This window comes from Homo sapiens, chromosome 7 (assembly GCF_000001405.40).
Source record: "Homo sapiens chromosome 7, GRCh38.p14 Primary Assembly".
Lineage (NCBI taxonomy): Eukaryota > Metazoa > Chordata > Mammalia > Primates > Hominidae > Homo > Homo sapiens.
The window spans coordinates 35,160,914-35,186,503 of record NC_000007.14 but is presented as its reverse complement, the minus strand read 5'-3'; the positions used below and the strand labels follow the sequence as shown (position 1 = coordinate 35,186,503).

At 36.8% G+C, this 25,590-nt stretch overlaps 2 pseudogenes across 1 annotated transcript in view; one reads left to right on the top strand and one right to left on the bottom strand.

The window, feature by feature from the left end:
* The first annotated feature begins 328 nt into the window (after positions 1-328).
* The window catches only part of DPY19L2P1 (DPY19L2 pseudogene 1), a 106,187-nt pseudogene continuing 80,925 nt past the window's right edge, over positions 329-25,590 (top strand). The window contains exons 1-6 of the transcript NR_002833.3: positions 329-784; positions 2,979-3,003; positions 5,002-5,089; positions 7,349-7,486; positions 21,545-21,664; positions 24,410-24,503. The product of NR_002833.3 is annotated as a DPY19L2 pseudogene 1 (transcript). The remainder of the gene's footprint in view (positions 785-2,978; positions 3,004-5,001; positions 5,090-7,348; positions 7,487-21,544; positions 21,665-24,409; positions 24,504-25,590) is intronic.
* On the bottom strand, positions 16,800-17,329 carry S100A11P2 (S100A11 pseudogene 2; annotated as a pseudogene).

Sequence of the window (25,590 nt, the reverse complement as noted above, 5' to 3'; positions counted from 1 at the left end):
GAAGGGCAAGCGGTGATGGGTTCTGCGCCAGTGGGGCTGGGAGCGTGTTGGGGGCTGTACGTGGGGCTGCGCGCAAGGTGAGAACTGCGCATGTGGGCTTGGGGACTGCGCGCACCGAAGGCTGCAGGCGCTGGGGAGGGTGTTGGGGGCTGTGCGTGGGGCTGCCCTCACCGGAAGCTGCACGCTCGGGGAAGCGCAGAGGCGGGGTGCTGCGCGCGCTGGGGAGCACGTGGGGGGACACGCAGGGGGACACGCAGGGACTGCCCGCGCGAATGGCTTCGAACGCATGCGCTCCACCCTACATTTCACAGTCGCCATGACGACCGGGAGGTCCGCTCGTCAACGGCTAGTCAACGGCTGCGGGGACAAGTCCGTTGAGGCTGCCAGGCGAGTCAGGCCTTTCTGGACCTCGCCTGACTCGGATGGGCTGTGCCTGAAATTGACCCAGCTCCACTAGGGATTATGAAGAAACAAGGAGTAAACCCAAAGCCGCTGCAATCTTCCCGCCCCAGCCCGTCTAAGCGGCCGTACGGGGCCTCCCCCGCCCGGGAGCTGGAGGTGGAAAAGTCGGCCCTAGGCGGCGGGAAACTGCCAGGGGGCGCCAGGAGGTCCTCCCCGGGGAGGATCCCAAATCTGAAAAAGCGAAAAGGCTTGGAGCTAAAGGTGGTGGCCAAGACCCTTCTCGACCCCTTCCAGTTCGTCCGTAATTCCCTGGCGCAGCTCCGGGAAGAGGTGCACGAACTGCAGGCGCGGTGGTTCCCCAGCAGAACCACTCTCAGCATCGGTAAGGAGAGGGCAGGAGAGCCCTAGGAGGGAGCCGCATGGCGCTTTTCTTGAGTCTTGAAGGAGATCAGTTTAACAAGCAAGGGTTTGTGGGTGCCTAGTAGGAAATAATAGCAAGGTCTGAGTAGAAAGAAGTTGGCCAAAAATCTTGTCATTGAACCAGAGGAGAGAGAGAGATAGGGAGTATATTGGTTTGAAGGGCTGTCAGATCGCAGAGAGTGTTTTAAGGTCTAGGAGTTTTAAAGGCTGGGGGCAAGGATCAAGGGAAGAGGATGAGATTAAGATTCCAAGAGAGGAAATAATTAGTGGAGCAAGTCTTGGAATATTTGGAGGGGTAGAGTTAAGGGCACAAATTTGATAAGCTAACTGTGGAAAAGAGGAGAGAGACTTCCTTTTCTGAGATGGCAGGGAGTAGAAAAGCGAGAATTACTATATGGAGAAATGTTAAAGTGGAGATAAAAGAAGTTGGGAGTGCTGGCGTCTAATGGTCTTTGTTTCAGTGAAGTATGAGGCTGGGTCACCTTCAGAGGTGAGATTGATAGGATGCCGGGGTCCGGGGGACATGCTTCTGTCACAGCTTGGAAAGGGCATGTGATAAGCCCTTCAAGCATTTAGAATACTGGCATCGTTACACCATATCATTTTTTTCAGATGTGGTATGTGGGTTAAGGGAGGGAGTGAGAGACACAGAAAGATTTTGAGCATCTTTGGAAAGCTAGATGAATTTGGTACTATATTTGACCTTTTCCTTATATATCATCTGAAGAGTTTTTTCAGTGTATATAATTGTTAGGAGAATTAGAAATAGGATACAAATATAGTTGAACAGGATAGTCTCTGTATATTTTAAAATTAATGAAGCCTAATAAACAGTTATGAGCATCTTTACAACCATTTAAAGTTTTCAACCTTTTAAAAATTATAGCAACCGTGCTTGCAGACAGTCCAAAAATACACCATGGGCCATACTTTGCTTATCCTGGTATAAAACAAGTAAATCTTCCGGGAAGTGTTTAAGATAAGCCCAGGACAGTTAGTAATATAGGAAAAGATCTGGGTAAGCATGGTTGAGAATTTCAACATTGCAATTTTTTAATTTTTAAAAATTTAATTTCTTCAATAATTATTGAATTAATTTGCATTTATTTTGTTAGCCAAGTGAAGTAATTTTTGAATTTTTAAGAGGCTATTATTGGTGGTTTATAAGATGACTTGCCAAGTATATTTGGGATAACCATAAGAAATACTATTATAAAATCTCAGAAGGGAGGTAGGACTTCTGGAATAGCCAAGAAAATGCACTCCTCCATGACGACAATGAAAATACTTGGAAAATTATCAAAATCATTTTCTTCAAACTTTGGAAATTAACCAAAGGTTTACAACAATCTAAAGGGCATTAATTCAAGAAAAGCTGCTGAACCTCTATAAGAACAGCAGAGTTTGTGGTGTTTTAACTTGTTCTATTCCCCACTCTTCTCTCTCCAGGGGAATTGAAAACAAGCAATTCCCCAACCAAACAGGGGCACAGGCTGCGTTTGCAGCTCCTGTAAAAGCTCCATACCCAGAGCAGTGTCTCCCAGCTCCCAGGTGAAGTCTTATGTATACATGGGGCGTTGGCCCACGTGACTCCAGACTAGTCTCCTAGGCCATCTAGTAGCTTCTAGGTCTGGGCTCTTGCAAAGAGCTTGCAATTCATCAAGGGTTGAGCTGCACATTGGGGCTTTTAGATGTGCTGCTGAGGAAGTGATTTCCTGCGTTTAATCATCTTCTGATGAATGGTAGAGAAACTGATCTAGAGTGGCTCCTCTTGGTTAGAACTAGCTGAAGCATACTGTATATACTTACTTCTTTTAAAAATTTCTTATAAAGGAATAGAAAATAATACTGAAAAAAAAACAAAAAAGGTCACAATCTTCCATAATTCCATCACTCTTACCAATTACCTGAAGTAAAAAAACCCTCTCAAGTTTCTCCCTTTACTTGTCGAGCCCTGCTGCAGAGAGGTAAGCTCTGTTCAGAATTTGCTTTGTGTCCTGGATTTTTTCCTATGCTCATAGAGACAGGATTAGCTGGCTGTCTTGCTTTGTGTGCTATCTTTCTAGACATGTAAAATAATACATTTGAAATACTTGTTTTAATGGTATTTTATAATAAAGCAGCTATTAATAACTTTCCTTTTTTTTTTATTCCAGCCATCTTTGTGGCAATTCTACATTGGTAAGATTTAGTTTCAGTTTGAAATATTTAAAAACTTTTGAATTAAAAATCGCCATCACTCTTTGCATACAGTAAAACAATAACTTCTGGCTATATTTGTAGAACATCTTTATGTGCACCAATTTATACATGTATTTTGCTTTTTTACAAACCTCATATGTGAAACAGCATTTACAAAATAGATGCATTAGGGGAATAGTAACTTACGAATTAAAATATTTTTGCTTTACCAAATAATTCACCACACGTTTCTTTAAATATCTGGCTTCTCTAGTGTATTTTGCATGTGTAGTTCATTTAAAACCTTCCTTTATTTTATGGTAATTATATGTTGCTAGTGAAATAACTTTTTTTTTTTTTTTTGAGACAGAGTCTTGCTCTGTCTCCGAGGCTGGAGTGCAGTGGCGTGATCTTGACTCACTGCAACCTCTGCCTCACAGGCACCAGTGATCCTCGTGCCTCAGCCTTCCAAGTAGCTGGGATTACAGGTGTGCACCACCACACCCAGCCAATTTGTTGTATTTTTGGTGGAGACAAGGTTTCACCATGTTGGCCAGGCTGGTGTCAAACTCCTGGCCTCAAATGATCCACCTGCCTCGGCCTCTCAAAGTGTTGGGATTACAGGCATGAGCCACCACACTCAGCCAGTGAAATAACTTTGGTGATAAAGTTTTAGTAACACCTGCCAATTGGAAATCAGGTAAAAAAGAAGATAAAGATTCTGCAGTGGTTATATGGTTAAATGGCTCTGAGTCTTTCAGTGTGCAAGTCTGTGTACATTATTTTACAAAAATGTTTATAAAAATTTGTAAAATAATACTTCCTTCTGGAATATTTTCTTTTTACCTGTGCTCAGTGATTTCTACCCTTGGAAGGTATGAGATCTGCTCCTATGTTCTGTTGACACAGTGCTGCTCTAGACATTTAGTCTGCAGGGAGCTTTTGATGTTAGAACTGAGGCTGCAATGGTAGGGAATATTCCTGCAGTTTTTGGTAACCTGGCATATAGCCTACATGTAAAGAAGGGTTAGTGGAAAACAGGGTTAATATATGGAACTTTGCTTTATTTTCAACTTCACTGGAAAGTACTGACTACATAAGTTAGCTATAGCATAATTGTTGGCCACAGCTAATTTTGTTTATCACATATGCTCCTTTCTTCACTGCCGACAGCTGTTGAGTTTCACTACTAAAAGGTCTTCAAGTACACACCTGTATTCTTTGGCACTTGAAAGTTGATCCCTTATGTGATATTATACTTATTGTAAGTCTGCTTTGATCTAAGGTAATTTTATTTAAAATTATATTCTGAACCCTTTTCAACAGTTACGGAGGTATTTCCCAAGGCTGGTACATTAGAATCACTTGAAACTTAAAAAACAAACACTAACCTGCCTCTGTTCTGATTTAGAGGCCTGGGATGGAAGGAAGGGTGAAAAAAGCCACAAGAATTTTAGATATACAATTAAGGTGTTTTTTTTGTTTGTTTGTTTTTTTGAGATAGAGTCCTCTATCTGACTCCCAGGCTGGAGTGCAATGGCATGATCTCTGCTCACTGCAACCTCCACCTCCTGGGTTCAAGAAATTCTTCTGCCTCAGCCTCCCTAGCAGCCAGGATTACAGACATGCACTACCATGGCTGGCTAATTTTTGTGTTTTTAGTAGAGACGGGGTTTCACCATGTTGGCAAGGCTGGTCTCGAACTCCTCACCTCAAGTGATCTGCCCGCCTCGGGCTCGGGCTCCTAAAGTGCTGGAATTACAGGCATGAGCCAACGCACCCGGCCACAATTAAGCTTAAAAACCACTGAGTTAAGGAGTTTCAGGTGTGTGCCATACTGGATTATAAATGCCTAAAAACATACAAGTTAGTAGGCAAATTATAAAATTAATATTATAATAATTTATTGTTTTCTTTTTTATGGCTTTCTTATTGCTTATTTTACTGTTAGTTTTGAAACTTGTTCTTATTGTAATATGATACTTAATTTTTTTCTAGGTTACATTTAGTAACACTTTTTGAAAATGATCGTCATTTCTCTCACCTCTCATCTTTGGAATGGGAGATGACTTTTCGCACTAAAATGGTTAGATTTCTTCTTCTAACGAATTAATTTGTGGTTTAAGAATAGCGAGACTATGAGGTAGAAATGTATTAGGAATTGAAATGAACTTTTGGTGAATTGCACTGTTTCATAAGCTATAACCCAGGTTTATTATTTAAATAGTAAAGTGTTTGAGATTATTTTTCTTTTACTTCATTATCTCTCACCCTTTCCTAATGCAGACTTCTTTTTAAGATAATAAAGATGAATTATAATAGCTGAGGAAGGAGGACAAAGAAAGCACTGAAGAAGTGATAAAGGGGAATGAAATGAGATGTTATCAGAAATTGCTTTCTCTTTGGCTACAGTTAGGAGATCCCATGTTTTACCTGGGCCTTTTAATGATGACGATTATTATTTGGCTCTCTTTTGATTTCAAGATAATCTCTTCTAAGAGATAACTTTTGATATAATTTTTAAATAATTTTCTGTTTTTCAATACTTAATCTTTAAAATGGAGTTTTCTGCCGTACATATCTCACATAATTATTGTGAGGAGTAAGTGGGATAGCAAATGCCAAAATTGCGCAATTTTACATTTAGAAGACACCACAACCGTCCATCTTCCAGATCTGCTCACAGCTGGTCGGGCGCCTAGTGAAGCATTGAAACTGGCTCTCCTCAGTCTAGCCATTGCTTTTTGTTTAAATTATGGTAAAACTTAGATTTAAATTTGTAATAAAAAATTTCAATGTTTATCCTTTAAGCATACAATTCAGTGAGATTAAGTACATTTATGTTGTCTTGCAACTATTACCACTGTCCACATCCGGAACTTTTTGCTATCCCAAACAGAAACTCTACCCACTAAACACTAATCACACCCAGCTCTATTTTCTGTCTCTATGATTTTGCCTATGCCAGGCCCCTCAGTCACTGCTTTTTAATTTTCATCCCTATATTGCCCCTATAAAGTTTCAAAGCATTGGATACATTAACATATGTATGACATTTGAACATTTTAAAGGTATTTCCAAAGACAGAATATAAAATATTATTAAATAAAGAGCGTAACTGTGGCAGAGTCTGGACTTTGGTGACAGATCGCTGGATTCTAATAGCAGTTCTGTGCTTTATTGTATGATGGCTAGTCAGGTCACCTCTCAGATTCTCAGTAATCTCGTCTGCTCAATAGAAATAATGCCAACCTTAGAGGGGTTTAGGGAAAATGAAGGGAGATAATGAATGGCAACACATAGCAGAATACTTAACACAAAACAATAGCTGTTATTAGTAACTTATTTATATATTTAATATTTCCCTAAATATAGTCTTTTGCATATTAGATATCCTTTAATTGTTGTATTGCTTTGTTATCCTCCTAAGCAGAAAGGAAAATTCTTTATGAATTCATATTTTGCCAATCAACTATGAGGTAATGGCCTTTCAGACATCAGCTAAAACAGACCTGTAATTTAGTAGTTACTCGTGTTGGATGAGGCAGATATGATTATAGCATATAGCATTTTTTAGGGAGAATGCATTTTAAACAATGTGGCCCTTTTTTGCTTTTAGATTTTAGGAGTGAAAGCAAGAAATTGTTGGGGAAATAAGACACAACATGCTGTTGTTAATCCATGAATTTTAACTCAACAGCACTTTTACTATCCCAATGAAGCCTTTATTTTATATGCTGAAGTATAAGACACTAAAATAAGCTGCTTTTTAGTACATAGCATTTGTGAGCAACAATAGTCAATTGACATTGAGCTTTCACTTTGCACAGAGGATTAGATGGAGCTATGAATTAAGCTAGAAGCACTGGATTCCTTGCTCGTGATGCTTATGGTCATTATATTTTATTTCCTAAGAGCATGGGAAAAAAAGTAATTTTCTATATGCAAAGTTGTACAGAGGCATGAAGGCATCCCTGTTTATGATAGAATTAATCAGATATCAACCTTCAAGCATCTCAAATGTGGGGGATAAAACCAGATTTGGGAAAATCAAACATATACTGTCTACACATTTTAAGACATTATTAGAGAAACTCTTTAAATTGTTTGACCATCCCTCCAACTCTTTAGTTTGAAAGCCTATAGAAAATTTGAAAGAATAGTACAGTGATCACCTGAAAATACGTGTTCTTTAAAGTCCAAGAATGCAAAATAGCGAGGAGTGATTAAGAAGTCTTATTATTAACTTTTTTTTTCAGAAAAAAAGTTCTAAAGAAGTGATAAAAATAAATATTTTAAAGTTTTAATTCCATTGACAATATGTGCCTTTTTTTTTTTTAAAAAGGGACTTTATTATTCCTACTTCAAGACCATCATTGAAGCACCTTCATTTTTGGAAGGACTGTGGATGATTATGAATGACAGGCTTACTGAATATCCTCTTGTAATTAATACAGTAAAACGCTTCCATCTTTATCCAGAGGTGAGTCATAATTTGAGACAAATAATATTTGTAGAGTGATCCTCTTTGTCAGATAAAAATAGTAAGCACAATCTTGTTAAGAAAGGGAGGGGACGTTTCAGGTTTACTAATTGTATGTATCCTTATAGTTGAGTAGAGTATCATAAGTTCCTCTCTTAAAATTTAAAGACCCCAGAAACTGTTCTCTCATGAACTCAAAGAATGAAACTTAGTGTGTAAATAATGGCCAGGGTAATAGACAAGCCAAATGGAAAAGAGAGTCATGGGAGCCAAAAAGTTCTAAATAGGGATGGGCTTTTGGCTTTGGACACCTCATGGGTGAGCACGATGACCACGTGAAGGGACAGTGAGAGTGATGAGCTTGAATAGTGATCTTGGAGTTACGTTAGTAAAGTAAGATTTATTTAGTCACACAGCCAGAAATCTATTACTATTTTCCAACACTTAGCCTAAAAGAGTATGGTTGTTATAGTAGTCTATAAATGCTAGAAATTTGAAAAACGGAGACAAAATTAGTGAACTCAGTTTGTGAACTCAAGATAAATGCTAAATTTGACACCATAGTAAATACTACTGTTGAGTTTAAAGTTGTCTCAGAATCCAGCATATTAATGAAAAGTTACTGCTTTCTAGTCCTTTATTCATATTTTTATAGCTTTTAAAAATTATTATTCTTTAGATTTTGAAATGCTTAAAGCTACAGACTTAGAAAATAATATTCAAATATGTGTGATCAACCATTTAAAATAAATAAATGCTAATCTTTGTCATTTTTGCATCAGCTATTTTAAAATAATTAAAATATTATAAATACAGTTAAAATCACCTTTGTTCTGCTCCTAGTCCAACTTATACCTTTATTAAAATTTGGTGTGTGTATCCATCCAATCTCTGTTTTCAGAGATTGTTTTATTATATGCTTTTAAGTCCACATAAATGATCTCATACTGAATGTGTCACTGTAGGATTTTTTTCTTCAAAATTGCATTTTTGAACTTTCTGTATATATATATTTCTTTAATTTTAACCGTTTTATGAATTGTAAAGTTTATGTATTTCCCCATCTTAATATATTATTTCCAAATTTTTGATTACAAGCAATGTAATCTAAAATGTACATTTTTGTATGGTTTTCTTCTGTATATGTGCAATATTTTGTCTAGGATATATACCTAGAAATGGAATTGTTGTTATACAGTGTGTGCTTTTTCAGCTTTACCAGATATTGGTAAATTGCTGTCTGAAGCAAATGTGGCAGTTCACACTGCTGTCTAGAATTTTCTCATATCCTTATTAGATTTTGAGTTGTCAGACCCTGTGATTTTTACTCTTATGATGGCTGTGATATGCTTTTTTGTTTTAATTTGTACCTCCCTTATTATTTATGGGGATAAATATATTTCCATGTTTAATAAACATTTGGATTTGTTCTTCTAGCAACAACATATATAAATCTTTGTCACCAAATCAGCTTTTTTGAGGTATGACTTACATGTAATAAAATGTGCCAATTTTGAGTGTACCATTCTCTGAGTTTTGACAAATGTATGAAGCTATATATCCATGACCACAATTGAGTTACAAAACATTTTCGGAATGCCAAAAAATGCTCCATTGTGGTAACTGTCTTTTCCCCCATTGAATTAATTGTCTCGGTACAATCGTTGAAAATTGGTTGACCACATTATATGTGAATCTGTTTCTGGACTCTGTTATTCTCTTGATCTATAATTATGCCAATACCACACTGTCTTGATTACTGTAACTTTAGAATAAATCTTGAAAGTAGATAGTTCTCCAACTTTTTCCTTTTTAAAATTGCATTTCTATCTAAATATTAGGGTCAGCTTATTAATTTCTCAAAAAAAACCTGCTGTGATTTTGATTGGGATTATGTTGGATTTGTACATGTATTTGGGAAGAATTGACATCTTAACAATATTGAATTTTCCAATCCACGATCACGGTATAGATCTCCATTTTGTTGATTATTTTTAATTTGTCTCAGCAATGTTTCGTATTTTTTCAATGTACAGTCTTCCCCAGTACTCTTTTATTATAAATGGTATTATTTTAAAATTTTTATTTTTCCATTTTTTGTTGCTTTTGAATAGAAATATAGTTGATTTTGAATATTAACTTTGTACCTGCATCTCGATGAAGTCAGTGGTTCTAGTAGCTTTTTTGTAGAATCCTTTGGATTTTTCTATGCACGTGATGATATATTCTGTAATTAAAAGCAGTTTTACTTTCCAGTAGATATACCCTAAATGTTTTTAAACAGCTTTATTGAGGTATAATTGACATATGATAGCTGGTCATATAGATGAAGTGTAAAGTTTGATTAGTTTTGGCCCACCTGTAACACCATCACCAGTCAAGACAATGAGCATATCCCTCATCCCAAAGTTTCCCTGTGCTCCTTGGTAATCCCTCCTTCCTTCATCTCTCTTTGCCCACATCCCATCCCTAGGAAACCACTAATATTCTTTTTGTCATTATGGTTTAGTTTGCATTTTCTAGAATTTTATAGAAATAGAAACAGAGTTGTTCTGTGCCTAGGTCTTAATGTATGCAGTTGACTGAGTGATGACACAGATAGATCAGTGCCGCTAAAGAAGAATTTATGAGTAATAATTTCTTGGAGAAGAGGACAAGTCACATCACACAGAGCCACAGGAGAAAGACAGTTTGGTCAGGCAGAAGCAGGACTGAGGGTAAAGCCTAGACCATCACTTTTATTGGGGTTTCTATGGGAAAGGCAAAACCGGGCAGAGTTTAAAAAAGAAAAGAAATAAACAAAATCAAAAGACAGTTGACAAACTGGGAAAAGATATTTGTTTGGTTTCTTTTTGTTTGTTTTGAGACAGAGTCTCACTTCATTGCCCAGGTTGAAGTGCAGTGGCGTGATCTCGGCTCCCTGCAGCCTCTGCCTCTTGGGTTCAAGCGATTCTCCAGCGTCAGCCTCCGAATAGCTGGGATTACAGATGTGCACCACCACGCCTGGCTAATTTTTATATTTTTAGTAGAAACGGGGTTTCACCATGTTAGCCAGGCTGGTCTCAAACTCCTGGCCTCCAGTGATCCTCCTGCCTCGGCCTCCCAAAGTGCTGGGATTACAGGCATGAGCCACCATGCCTGGCCAGGAGAAAATATTTGTAATATATCTCACAGATAAAGGGCTAATACACCTAATATATAAAGAACTCTTAATTCTTTATATATTTAGCTTCTGGAGGCTTCAGGTGTCAATTTGGTGATGAAGAGAGCTGGAATGATGGCACTCTCATTCCTACAACAAGGAAAATAGCTGGACAAACTGCAATATAACACCTATTCTTGAACCCTTCAGAAAACTGAGGTCAGAGGACAACCAACGCAAAATTTCAAGAAGGACAGTTGCCTGCAGAAAGCACAAAGAACTGAGCATTCTGGAATAGGAACTGCTTGACTGAGATAGATGCTTTTGAATGCCATATAAGCTGGTACAAAGATTAAACCAGAAATTTTTTTAATGAACTGCTACAGGCTTATTGTGAGCTGGTATGAAATGTGAAGGTGAGCAGACTCTGTCAGGGAAGATTGGGGAAGTATTTAGAGAAAGCTTTCCCTATGGTGCTGGCTAGGGGACAGGAAAAGCAATCATTGCTCGGACTCTACTCACACCCATGTTGTGAAATCTCTCCTAAGGAAAAGAAAGCCATGATCTGCAGGGAGAACGGTATCAAACCCATTGTCTGAGGACACTGGTGGGTATCCAGTGAAGCTGGTGAAAGAGAACAGGCAGGAAAAAAAAAAACCTAAATGTTAAAAAACAGTCACATTCCTTGAGGAGGGAACACTTATGAAGGGTACAGCCCCCAAATAACAAATTCACAGTACCTGTCTAAGATTGAGGCTTAATTGGAACATCAGAAAACCTGTCACTCTTCCCCCATTACATTAACAAGCCTTTGGTAAAAATCACAGTGGAATGTGACTGAGTGAGTTTTGCAAGGCATTTTCTTTCTAGGGAGCAGCAAAAAGGAAAACCCAAAACCAAGTTCAAAACAAGGTACCACTAGAGGAATTTGAAATCACTAGCGTCCATAGCGGCAACAAACTCCAGCTTTGCTAACTATAGCAATTACAAACTTCAAATCCAGCCCACCCTAACTAGATTAACACAAATCCCTACAATAAAGACCTAACGGTAAGAAAGATGTTCTTAATTTCAAGCATAAAAATACTGACCTCTATGTCTACTGTCTTATACAACATGTCTAACTTTCAGCAAAAATTATGAGGCATACCTAAAGGTAAGAAAAAGCACAGTCCAAAGAGACAGAGCAGTCATCAGGCGGACCCAAAGAAGATACAGATACTGGAACAACTGGACAGGAGATTTAAGTAACTATGATTAATATTTTAAACACCCAAATGGAAAAGACAGATGATATGCAAGAGCAGATAGATAATTTTAGCAGAGTTGGACACTGTAAGAATCAAAGGGAAATGATAGAAATAAAAAAAAATGAAGTAAAAATTGCCTTACATGAGCTCATCAGCAGACACAGCACAGCAGAAGAAATAATCAATGAGTTTGAAGATAGGTCAATAGGAATGCAAAGAGAAAAAAAAGTGGAGGAAGGAAATGATAGAACATCTAAGAGCTGTGACACCATATCAAATATTCTAATATATGCATAATTAGAATCTCAGTGGGAGAGGAAAGGATGAGGAAGAATAAACATTTGAAAAATAAGTGACTGAGAATTTTCCAAAATTAGTGACAGATACCAAACCACAGATCCAAGAAACTCAGAGAACATCAAAAAGGATAAATATCAAACAAATGCATGAATGAATAGATAAACAAACCAAACATGCATATGCAAACCTAGGGGTAAATGTAAACACATTAAAGAGTATGAGACAGAGACTATCTCACAAAGCCTAAAATACTTATCGTCTGGCTCTTTATAGGAAAAGCTTGCTGACCTCTTATCTAACAGAATGAATAGACTAGGGATATAATGTGAGTTTCTTGGGCAGCACCAAGGGCTTCATTTGAGGTGGATGGTCTTGAATTGAGAACAAAACCAGCCAACAGAATTGTGTTCCTCCAGCTATAATCAGATTCCCAAGTATAAACATGGAGAAAATGGAGAGTTGGATTTAATCATGTCAGGTCAGCTTTCCCTTGGATGTAGAAAGCCAAAAAGAACATTGCTCGTGGCCTTCCAGCAATGTCAGCAGCAACAACAACAAAAGCCAGACAGTCTTCAAATTTACAACTTTTCCTGAAGCAGTCAGGGAGCTGAGGTCACAGGGCAATCAAATAACCCAAAATAAATTAAAAAGATAAAGCATGTGCAAGGAGAACAGAAACAAGCATTTAATTACATGGGTCATGCCACTAGACACAATGGTAAAGAATTCAGCTCAAATTGTTCACCAGTCAGTCGGTAAATGCCTAGTGTGGGTTAGCAAGGGTATTTGCAATTGCTTACAGACATTTTTACACAGACCTCATAAGGTGCTGACAAAAGATTAGCAAGAGTGCTCAGAAAGCATCCTCCATGGTAAAGCCTGGGAGAACAGGAGCCACTTAAAGAAAGGCAGGAAACCCACCCACCCCCCTCTTCCTTATCTCCCCTATAAGTCTTACACTCTATTATCTTAAACTGCTGGGGGGAAGGTAACAATGTCCTTTTCACATTACTGGTACAAAAATAGGCCACAGGCCCTGATATGGTCCTTGAGCCTTTTGCTAACCCCTTGATGCCCGTTTCCATATCTTCTCTCTCCAGTTATCCCAAACCTCCTGTCCCCCTTTCACTCTCAGCAAATGACCTTGTTTTCTACTGTTTTCCCGGGCCTATTATGTATTTCCTAGCTGTATCCCAGGTGCCTACTTCCTGGAATATGGAGTTGATTCAATATCATATTTGTTGAATGAATGAAACTATGCAAATTTCCTTGTGCTACATACTCAGTAGTCAATAGATACAACCTAAGCACAACCAAAATTAGGTTTATCTGTATCCTTACCTGCATTTGGTATTGTCACTATTTTTTATTTTACTTATTCTTACACATATGTAGTGATGTATCATTATGGTTTTAATTTGCATTTCCCTATTGGCTAATGATGGTGTACATCTTTTTGTGCTTATTTGCCATCCGTATGTGAAACGTGTCTTTATGTATTTTGCTCCATTTCTATTTGAATTGTTTGTTTTATGAATTTTGGATCTTAGGATGTTCCTTACATATTATAGATGCTAATTATTTTTCATATATATGGCTTGCAAATATATTTTCCCAGTCTGTAGCTTGCCTTTTCATTCTCTTAAACAGGGTCTTTTGTATAGTGTTGTTGAGTTTGTCTCAATTTTGGGGGAATTTCTGTCTAGTTCTTCTATCAACTAAAAGAATTAGTTGAAAATACTAATTCTAGTTTTTTGGCAGAGGGATTCTGAAGTCTGCTAGTAAAATTAGGTATATGTACATTTCTCCATTGACACCTATCTGTTTTTCTTCACATATTTTGTAGCTCTATGTTTGGCGCATATGCATTTAGGATTGCAGGGTCTTCTTGTTGAATTTTTTAAAAAATAATTTAACGATGACTTTTTCTTCCTTCTCTGATAATTTTGCTTCCTCTGAAGTGTGCTTTTTTCTGATAATGACATCGTCACTTCTGCTTTCTTTTCATTACTGTATGTATGATAAATTCATCATTGTCCATCCTTTCACTTTCAGCCTGACTTTATTATTATATTTGAAGCAAGTTCCTTGTAAACGGTTGGGTAATATTTTTAAATCCAATTTGTCAGTGTATCTCTTAATTGGTATGTTTACCAATTGACCACTTACATCTAATATAGTTATTAATATGTTAGAGTTTAAGTCTGTGATTTTATTTTGTGGTTTCTATTCTTGGTTTTCAATTTCTGTTTGCTTTTATTTTAACCTTCTTGTGGCAGAACATTTCATTTGAACATTGTTTAGAGTTATATTTTGATTTATCTATTTTTTAAATATATCACTTTACAAAGCTTTTTTTAGTGGTTCTAGCGATTGTATTAACACAATTTATTACAATCTGTTGCTGCTGTCATTTTACTGTATGTTTTAATCATCAAACTTATTTTAAACTCAAGTTTTACACACATTTTATAAACTCAGGAAGAAAGTGAAAGCCTGTTTTATTTTATCCATGTTTTTTATTTCTTCCTCTTTGATGTTCCAACATTCCTTCTTTTATCATTTCATTTCGGTTTAGGGGATTTTCTTTAGCTACACTTTTAGAATAGATGTCTGTTGTAAAAGTTCTGCTGGCTGCATTTTTTTTTATTATACTTTAAGTTTTAGGGTACATGTGCACATTGTGCATTTTTTGTTTAATTTTTAAATTTTTTTAAAATTTTTTTTAGTTTTTCTTAACTCAGAGAATGCAGTTGCTTTTCATTACTGAAGGATATTTTTGCTGGAGATAGGATTCTGGGTCGATAGTTCCTTTCTTTCAGCATTCAGCAAGTGTTGTGCCATTTTGTTCTGGCCCTCCATAGTTTCTAATGATAAATCTGCTGTTAGTTGAATTCTTTTTCTCCTTTAGGTAAGGTTTTGTTTCTCTCTTGTTGGTTTCAGTATTTTTTTAAATTTAGTCTTCAAAAGTGTATCAAAGTATAATGTTCAAAGTTCAAATGTTTTCTAAAGTATGTTGTGTTTTAGTGTGGATTTGTTTAGATTTTTTCTGTTTGAGATTTGCTCAGCTCCTTGAATATTTAGGTTTATATCTTTTGCCATATATAGGAAGTCCAGTCATTATTTCTTTTTCTTTCTTTTTTTATTTATTTATGTATGTATTTATTTATTTATTTTGAGACAGGATCTCACTCTGTCGCCCAGGCTGGAGTGCAGTGGTGAAATCTCAGCTCACTGCAACCTCTGACTCCTGGAATCAAGGGATCTGCCCACCTCAGCCTCCTGAGATGCGCAACCACCATACCTGGCTAATTTTTCTTAATTTTTTGTAGACATGGGGTTTTACTATGTTGCTCAGGCTGGTCTCGAACTCCTGGGCTCAAGCAATCTGCCTGCCCTGGCCACCCAAACTGCTGGGATTACAGGCATGAACCACCGGGACCAGCCTCAGTAATTATTTCCTTGAATTCTTTTTCAGCCCTGCCTCTTTCCCGTCTCCTTCCAAGACTCCAGTGACATGAATGTAGGATCCTTTGTTAAAGTTCCACAGGTCCCTAGGGCTGTTTTGTTTGTTTATTCTGTTAGCATCTGATTTTTCTCTTTTGCTCAGATTGAGTAATTTCTATTTTTCTGTCTTCTAGTTTACTGGTTATTTTCTTCTATCTCTGCCATTCTCCTCTTGTGCCATCCATTAAGGTTTTTTATTTTGATTATTTTATTTTTGAGCTCTGAAAATTTTGACTTTTCTTTATGTGTTCTATTTTTCTGCTGACACTTTTTCTTCTTCCAACTTCTATTTTAGGTTCATGGGATACATGTGTGGGTTTGCTGTATAGGTAAATTGCATGCAGTGGGGGTTTGGTGTATGGAGTATTTTGGCACCCAGGTAATAAGCATAGTACTCAATACGCAGTTATTCAGTCTTCACCCTCCTCATACCCTTCACCCTCAAGTAGGCCCCAGTGTCTGTTGTTCCCTTCTTTGTGTCCATGTGTACTCAGTGTTTAGCTTCGCTTATAAGTGAGAACACACAGTATTTAGTTTTCCGTTCCTGCATTAATTCACTTAGCATACTGGCCTCTAACTCCTTCCATGTTGCTGCAAAGGACATTATCTTGTTCTTTATAATGGCTGCATAATATTCATGGGGTATATGTACCAACACATTTTCTTTATCCGTTCCACTATTGATGGCATTTAGGTTGATTCCATGTCTTTGCTATTTGCTATTGTGAATAGTGCTGCAGTGAACATACATGTGCATGTGTCTTTATGGTAGGCTAATTTATATTCCTTTGGGTATATACCTAGTAATGGGGTTGCTGGGTCAAATGGTAGTTCAGTTTTAAGTTCTCTGAGAAATTTCCAAACTGCTTTCCACAGTGTTTGAACTAGTTTACGTTCCCACCAGCAGTGTATAAGCATCCCCTTTTCTCCACAACCTCACCAGCATCTGTTATTTTTTGACTTTTTAATAATAGCCATTCCGATTGGGTTAGTGTGGTTTTGATTTGCATTTCTGTAATGATCAGTGATGTTGAACACTTTTTCATATGATTGATGGCCACATAAATATCTAATTTTGAGAAATTTGTGTTTATGTCCTTCACCCACTTTTTTTTTCATGTTTTAAAAAAGTGACATTGTATTATTACTATCCACAGGTGGGGCCTGCATGATGTGGTAGGTATGCTGGGCTCAGGGGACATGTGGGCTGTGAGGAGGAGATGATGACAGAAAGGCTGGAAGGAAAGGGGGTGGGTTTGAAGGCCAGGCCCAAGGGGTCCTCAGGTCCACTTCTGGGAAGGGACAGCCTTGAGGAAGGAGTCATGGCAAGCCACAGCTAGGCCACCAATCAGATTAAGAAATTTTGGGAAATCTAACTGCCCATCGCTGCTGACATCCAGTTTCTTCATGCGGTCAAGGACACCGGGGTCCTTCTGGTTCTTTGTAAAGGCAGCCAGCTCTGTATTCATGAAGCTTAGGAACTCCGTCTTGGAGAGATTGCAGTTGTAACCATCCTTTCCAGCATACTTCTGGAAAACAGCAATCAGGGACTGAATGCACCGCACAGTCTCTGTAGGGCTGGAGATTTTTGCCATGTTGGAGCTGAGCAAGGCATGGGAGGCTGTGACTGGGAGTGGCACGGAGTACCCATTTTTTAATGGGGTTTTTTTTTTTACTTTCGATTTGTTCCTTATGGATTCTGGATATTAGACCTTTGTCAGATGAACAGTTTGCAAATATTTTCTCCCTTTCTGTAGGTTGTCTGTTTACTCTCTTGGTAGTTTCTTTTGCTATGCAGAAGCTCTTTAATTTAATTAGGTTGCATTTGTCAATCTTTGTTTTGTTACAATTGCTTTTGGCATCTTCGTCATGAAATTTTTGCCAGGGTCTATGTCCAAAATGGTATTTTCTATGTTTTCTTCTAGGGTTTTCATTGTTTTAGGTTTTACATTTCAGTCTTTAATTCATCTTGAGTTGATTTTTGTGTATGGGGAAAAGAAAGGTGAAGTTTCAGTCTTCTGCATATGGCTAGCCAGTTATCCCAGCATCATTTATTGAATAAGAAGTCCTTTTTCCTATTGACTTGTGTTATCAGGTTTGTTGAAAATCAGATGGTTCTAGGTGTGTGACTTTATTTCTGGGCTCTCTATTCTGTTCCATTGGTCTATGTGTGTGTTTTTGTGCTAGCACCATGCTGTTTTGGTTATTGTAGCCTTGAAATATAGCTTGAAGTTGGGTAGTATGATGCCTCTGGCTTTGTCCTTTTTGCTTAGGATTGCTTTGGCTATTTGAACTATTTTTTGGTTTCATATGTGTTTTATTTTATTTACTTATTTATTTATTTTAACCTTATTTACGTTGAAGGAGTATCCATATAAGTTTTAGAATAGTTTTTCTAATTATGTGAAAAATGTCATTGGTAGTTTGATAGGAATAGCATTGAATCTGTAAATTGCTTTTGGTAATATGGTGATTTTAACAATATTGAATCTTCCTATTCATGAGCATAGAATGTTTTTCCATTTGTTTTTATTGCCTCTGATTTCTTTCAGCAGTGTTTTGTAATTCTCATTGTAGAGATTTTTCTCCTCTCTAATTAGCTGTATTCCTAGGTATTCTTTTATAAGTTTTTTATTACTTTTCTGTGGCTATTGTGAATGAGATTGCATTCTTGATTTGGCTCCCAGCTTGGACATTGTTGGTGCATAGAAATACTACTGACTTTGGTACATTGATTTTACATCCGGAAAGTTTGCTGAAGTTTTAAAAAGACACATCTAGGAGCTTTTAGTCAGAGACTGTGGGGCTTTCTAGGTATAAAATTGTATTGTTTACAAAAAAGATAGTGTGAATTCCTGTCTTCCTATGTGGATTTATTTTCTTTCTTTCTTTTGCCTGATTGCTCTGGCTGGGACCTCCAGTACTATGTTGAATAGGAATGGGGAGAGTAAACATCCTTTTGTTGTTCCAGTTCTCAAGGCAAATGCTTCTAGCTTTTGCCTGTTCAGTATGGTGTTGGCTATGGGTTTTTCATAGATGGCTCTTATAATTTTGAGGTATGTTCCTTCAATGCCTACTTTGTTGAAGGCTTTTAAAATGAAAGGATGTTGAATTTTATCAAAAGCCTTTTCTGCATCTATTTAGATAATCATGTGGGGTTTTTTTTTAGTTCTTTTATGTGATCAATCATAATTATTGATTTGCCTGTGTTGAACCACCCTTGCATCCTAGGAATAAAGCCTACTTGATTGTGGTGGATTAGCTTTTTGATGTGCTGATGGATTCAGTATGCTAGTATTTTGTTGAGGATTTTGCATCTATGTTCATCAGAGATATTGGCCTGAAGTTTTCTTTTTTACATTGTGGCTTTGCCACATTTTGGCATCAGAATGATGTTAGCCTTATAGAATGAGTAAGGGAGAAATCCCTCAAGTTTTTGGAATAGTTTCAGTATGATTGGTATCCGCTCTCCTTATATGTCTGGTAGAATTTGGCTGTGAAGTCATCTGTTCCAGGGCTTTTTCTGGCTGGTAGGCTTTTTATTGGTGATTCAGTCTTGGAACTTGTTATTGGTCTATTCAGGGTTTTCATTTCTTCTTGGTTAAATCTTTGGAGGTTATATATTTCCAGGAATTTAGCCATTTCTTCTAGGTTTTCCAGTTTGTGTCCATAGAGTTGTTCGTAATAGTCTCTCAGAGTTTTTTGCTTTTCTACAGGGTCAATGGTAATATCTCTTTTGTCATTTCTGATTGTGTTTATTTGGGTCTTCTCTCTCTTTTTCTTTATTAGTCTAGCTGGTGGTCTATTAAATTTATTCTTTCAAAGAACCAACTTGTGGTTTTGTTGATCTTTTGTATGGTGTTTTGTGTCTCAATTTCATTCAGTTCATCTCTGATTTGGTTATTTCTTGTCTTCTGCTAGATTTTGGGTTGTTTTGCTCTTATTTTTCTGGTTCCTCTAGGTGTGATGTTAGGTTGTTAATTTGAGATCTTTCTAACTTTTTGAAGTGGGCATTTAGCTCTGTAAATTTGCCTCTTAACACTGCTTTAGCTGTGTTCCAGCGATCCTGGTATGTTGTATCTTTATTTTCATTAGTTTCAAAGAATTTCTTGATTTCTACCTTAATTTCTTTGTTGACTCAAAAAGTCATTCAGGAGCAGGTTGTTTAAATTCCATGTACTTATGTGTTTTGAGAGATGTTCTTAGTATTGATTTCTGTTTTTTTGCTGAGACTATTTCTCTGGTAAACTTTTCAATTTTTCCCTTTGTTTTAAGCATGCTCATTAGAGTATATTTATGATTGTTGCTTTAAAATCCTTGATAATGCTAATATTTCTTTCATCTCAGTATTGGAATCCATTTATTTCTCATTCAGTTTGAGATCTTTCTGGTTCCTGATGAGTGATTTTCACTTGAAACCTAGACATTTTGAGTATTATGTTATGAGACTGGATTTTATTTAAACCTGCTATTTTAACTAGATACCTCTGGTATCACTCAAGCAAAGGAAGGGGAAAAGGGGGAAGGCACCATCTTGTTGCTTTCAGGATCACCTGAGGTCAGGAGTTTGAGACCAGCCTGGCCAACATGGTGAAACCCTGTCTCTACTAAATATACAAAAATTAGCCAGGCATGGTAGTGGGCACTTGTAATCCCAGCCACTTGGGAGGCTGAGGCGGGAGAATTGGCTTGAACCCAGGAGGAAGAGGTTGCAGTGAGCCAAGATCACGCCACTGCACTCCAGCCTGAGTGAAAAGAGTGAGACTCCATCCCCAGAAAAAAAAAAAAAGCCCAGGGAAGGTGGAAGTCTAGCTTCCCCACTTGGCCTTTGTTTATACGGTAGGGGTAGAGCCACATTTTTTTTACTTTTGACTTTTTGGGTACTTTTTGTATATTTGTCTTAGTCTGTTTTGTGCTGTTTGAACAAAGTATCTGAGACTAGGTAATTTATAAAGAATAGAAATTTATATCTCACAATTATGGAGTCTAAGAATTCTGGAGTCCAAGGAAGTCCAAGATCAAGGCACCAGCAGATTTGGTGTCTGGTGAAGGCTGCTCTCCGCTTCCAAGATGGTGCCTTGATGTTGCATCTTCTGAAGGAGAGGAACACTGTGTCCTCACATGGCAGACAGTAGGAGAGTAAGACAGCTTTAATCTCACTCATGAGGGGGGAATCTTCATGGTCTAATCACCTCTTGCAGGTCCCATCTGTTAATACTATCACATTGGCCATTAAGTTTCAATACCTGAATTTTGGATGGGACACATTCAAACTATAGCAGTGCCCATTGGCATTTCTGGATTGCCAGCCTCTTTAACTCCAAATCTGAGAAAATGAGGCACAAAGAGAGCCCACGGAACTCATAACCATATGAGTTATGGTACATTTCTAAATGTACATTTCTGCTTCTGGGCTCTACTCTATTGCAGTTATCTATTCGACTATTGCTATGCCAATATCATAGTGTCTTTTTACATTAGCTTTATAATACAGCAACAATTGATAGTGCAAATCCTCCTTTTTCAAGAATACCTTGACTATATTTGGCCCTTTGCATTTCTGAATAACTTTTAAATCAGCTCATCAAAGTCAACAAAAAATATGTTGGAATTTTGACTGGTAGAGCATTGAATCTATAAAGCTTTTTAATATCAAAACATGCGGTGTTTGGTTTTTTTGTCCTTGCGATAGTTTGCCAAGAATGATGGTTTCCAGCTTCATCCACGTCCCTACAAAGGACATGAACTCATCCTTTTTTATGGCTGCATAGTATTCCATGGTATATATTATTATTATTATTATTATTATGAAGAGAATGTATTTACCTCAATTATCTCTTTGTTTTTATCTTTTTTAAGGTAATCATAGCTGCCTGGTATCGCACATTCATAGGAATAATGAATTTATTTGGACTAGAAACTAAGACCTGCTGGAATGTCACCAGAATAGAACCTCTTAATGAGTTCAAAGCTGTGAAGGCATGTTTCCTCCAAAAATGCTGTCATTTGTAAACATTCATAAACATTTAATAATATTATGATTCACTTTTAAGAATTATTGTAAAATTCTGTTGTTGATTTAAAAAACATTAGAACTGACTCACCTCAATGAGTATTTTTACATTTTAAAGTAGTTTTCTGAGAAGGCTGTGTACTTAAAAATTTGAGTATAAATTTTGGAATTTGAGTATTAACGTATCCCATTGTAAGGCAATCTTGACTATAAGTTAGTCTTCTATTTCAGAATGAGAAGATACAGAAAGATGTTTTTTGGGGTAGCTTCAATATATAAATTTTGAGGATACATTAAATAGTCAAATATCTATTTGTAATAGCTAATGTATAAATTTAATTATGCATACATATTTGAAAATTGGATATGCCATAATAGATTGATTTAGAAATATTACTTTTTTATATATGCTCATAGTCCATGAGTAGTATTAATAAAACTCTTCCTATTTATCTTCTACGTTGGTTTCTTTGTCAAAGAACCGCTTTTGGAATCATCTAACAGCTTTCCAGGATACATAGTGGTCACTTCCATTTAAGATGTTTGCATTTCAGTACTTTTACAATTCAAGTATGGTGCTGTCCCTTGAGACTCCCGTTCAGAGCCACTTGTATCTATTTTCATAACACTAACACTGTTGTTTTTTCTTTATTTCTTCAAATTCTTAACAACATGACTTACTATATTTTATGAATAAATTTTTAGACTTGTTTGTAACAACATTCAACTCTTGGGACATAAACTAAATCTATTTTCCTTACATTTTTTACTGATTCCCTCAGTAAAATAGAATTGATGAGGATGTTTGAGGGGCAATTACACTTTTTTGTGTACAATGTAAAGGTTTGGAGAAAATGCCTCATAAAATGAAAGACTTTGCAATGATTCAGTCAGCTAGAAGGTGTGACCCTGTCTGAGTGGTGAAAATGATCACCTAAGTATGGTATTAGTTACATTCCCAATAAGTGATAGGTTAGTGTTTGGCACTTTGGACACAGAGAAGAACCAGCTAGACGTGGGGCCTTATCCTCATAGAGTTTATGCTGTAAGGGGGCTGTTAGCAGTTACAATTGTGATGGATATTACAAATAAGAAAATAAGGTTACCGACACTAGGAGTAAGAGAGGATAAGTATTTTAAGAATAGGGAATAATGTATTCAAATATGCTGAAGCAAGAGAGAACTGAAAAAAGGCTAGAAATCCTAGAAGCGATGGAGAAGAAAAATGATGTGAAATGGTGCTGGGAATATAAGCAAGGATCAGATCATGAAAGGGGTGCACTGGTGAAGGATTTTATACTTTATCCATTGAAGAATTTTAACAGAGTTCCATTTTAAAACATTATTTAGTCAATGGTATGGAAAAAATATTAGTAAAGGAACAAAAGTAGGTTAAGGGAGGCCAGGTAGGAGACAATTATATTCTCAGCAAGTGATTGCAGGAAAGATAATGTGGAAATGCCTGGATGTGAGAGAGATTTTGGAAGCAGAATGGACAAGACTTGGTAATTGTTTGGTAAGAGAGGAGAAGGTGAATGAAGAATCATGTGAAACACAGTTTGGTTTCTAGCTTAAGTAACTGAGCTCCTTTGAGTGATAGGAAACATTTGAACAGCAGCAGGTTTGTATTGTTATGTTTCATTGTGTATTCATGAATTTGAGGTACTTGAGAGACCTCAGAGTGGGGACATCAAGTGGCTATCTGGGTATAAGAATAAGGAGAAAGTTCTGGATTAAATGTAGAGTTGGAGTCATCTGTATATAGATCATTGGAGCCACGGATGTAGAAGAATTTCCTTATGGAGAATATGCAGATGGAGAAATGAAGGGGGGATATGACAGAGCCTAAGGTGTTCCAATATTAAAGAGTGGTACATAAAACAAGAGAAGTTACTAGAACTGACTGAAAGGAGTGATCAGAGAGGCAGGGGGAATCAGAAGGCCAGCTTTCAGACCTTGGCTCCAGCCAGTTAAAGTGAAATAACCTTTGACAAGTTGAATATCTTATGTTCTGTTTTCTCAACCGTAAGAAAAGTATTTTTATACCAGCTAATATCATAAACTTGTTCGGAGAAAAATGTGGGATGATTGTTAAGTACATATTGCCACACACACACACACACGATCTTCTATATGGAATATACTAAGATTCTAGCTATACATAATAATGGATCAAATGACTGGATCATTTCATATAGACTAAAGCTGTACCCTAAAGTCAAAACCATATCTTAACTCTTCCTAGAACCTAGAAAAAGATAAAAATAATGTAATGGATTTTCTTTTGTATTCATTAAGTGGTTCTACAGACAGTTCCAGACACTGAACACTAGCAGCATCACCTAAATAAATGTGAATCCCCAACAAATCATTACAGTATAATAGTAATTCATTAGAGGAAAGTATAAATGCAATTATAAAAAGTATAAAGTATAAGTGTAACTATATAATTGCTCATTAGGGTGAGCTTACATATGTGTATGTGTATATATACACACACATATATATACACACACACATATATATGTGTCTGCAAGCACACACACACACAAACTGTTATAAGGGTAAAGAATTAAACACAGTGGCAATCTGGAAAGCAAATGCTTTCAGCAAATTCATGAGCTCTTGATTGCAAAGCACTGAGATAATTATGCCCAATTGCTTTAGAGTCATATATTCATTAAACACTGATTATCTGTATCTTTTCAAAGGATTGGGAGATCCTGCTTGCTTTTATGTTGGTGTAATCTTTATTTTAAATGGACTAATGATGGGATTGTTCTTCATGTATGGAGCATACCTGAGGTAAGACTACTACTGAATTAAGGGACCTTTCAGTGGGCTTTTACAGACTGGCTGATATTCGTTGATTAAATGAAAAGGAAAATTAATGAGATTGATTCATATCAGGAAAGTTTGTGGATTTACTTGATTTTTCAGAAGCTTAACCAATATCATGTAACCAGAAACTGGAGATGTCACTAAAATTCTATCTCAAAGTCGTCCCTTTTATTCTGTTGTTTAAACAGATTTCCTAACAAAGTCTTTAATGGAATATCTCCTAGTTCATGTGTAAAATTAATAAAACATTGGAGGAGATCTTTGGTTAGCAGTAGTAGCAGCTTATTTCTAATTGTATTCTCTAAGGATGAAATTAAGAAAGCAGTAGGAAAAACTGTGAATCACATGTGGCAGGCACTTACATCTGCTAGCATGTCTGTCTTGATAAGAGTACCACGATGAAGCAGCAGCGAGACCAGTCTCAGGTGATAAGTTGAAATTAATCTCAATGGTCATGTGTTTTGCCCCCACACTTAATTGCTCCCTGAGATAGCCATATCAGCTAGTTTTTGCCAATGAAAACTAAGTTGAAGTCAGTTTTGGTTACATCTAATAAAGTATCTGCCTTTCTCACAAAAGGACAGACTTAGCTGCCCCTTCTCTGTTTCTTCCTGCTTTTATTGCACTAGGATGTCATGCCCAGAACTGTAGCAGTCATCTTGTGACCATAAGGGAAAGGTCATAAAAATAGCAGATATATCTGGCCTACCATCCTTCTGCTGCTGAACCAATGCCAACAGATACTTATCTTTCATTTTCTTGTTGGATGATACAGTAAACAACATCCATATTGTGTAAGCCACTTTTGTTAGGTTTTCTGTTTCTTTCAGTGGAGCATATTCCTAGCTGAATCATCAGATTTCTTTACAATGTTATTCTTATCGTGCAAAATATTTAAAATTAAAATTAAAATTAATTGATAGCTTTACTCTTTCAACAAATATTTATTGAGTTTTCATGGGGCTTATGTCAATATAGAGATTAGTAAATATACACACTCTTTGTTTTAGGAAGTTTTCAGCATAAAAAAAGACTAGCATAGAATCAATGA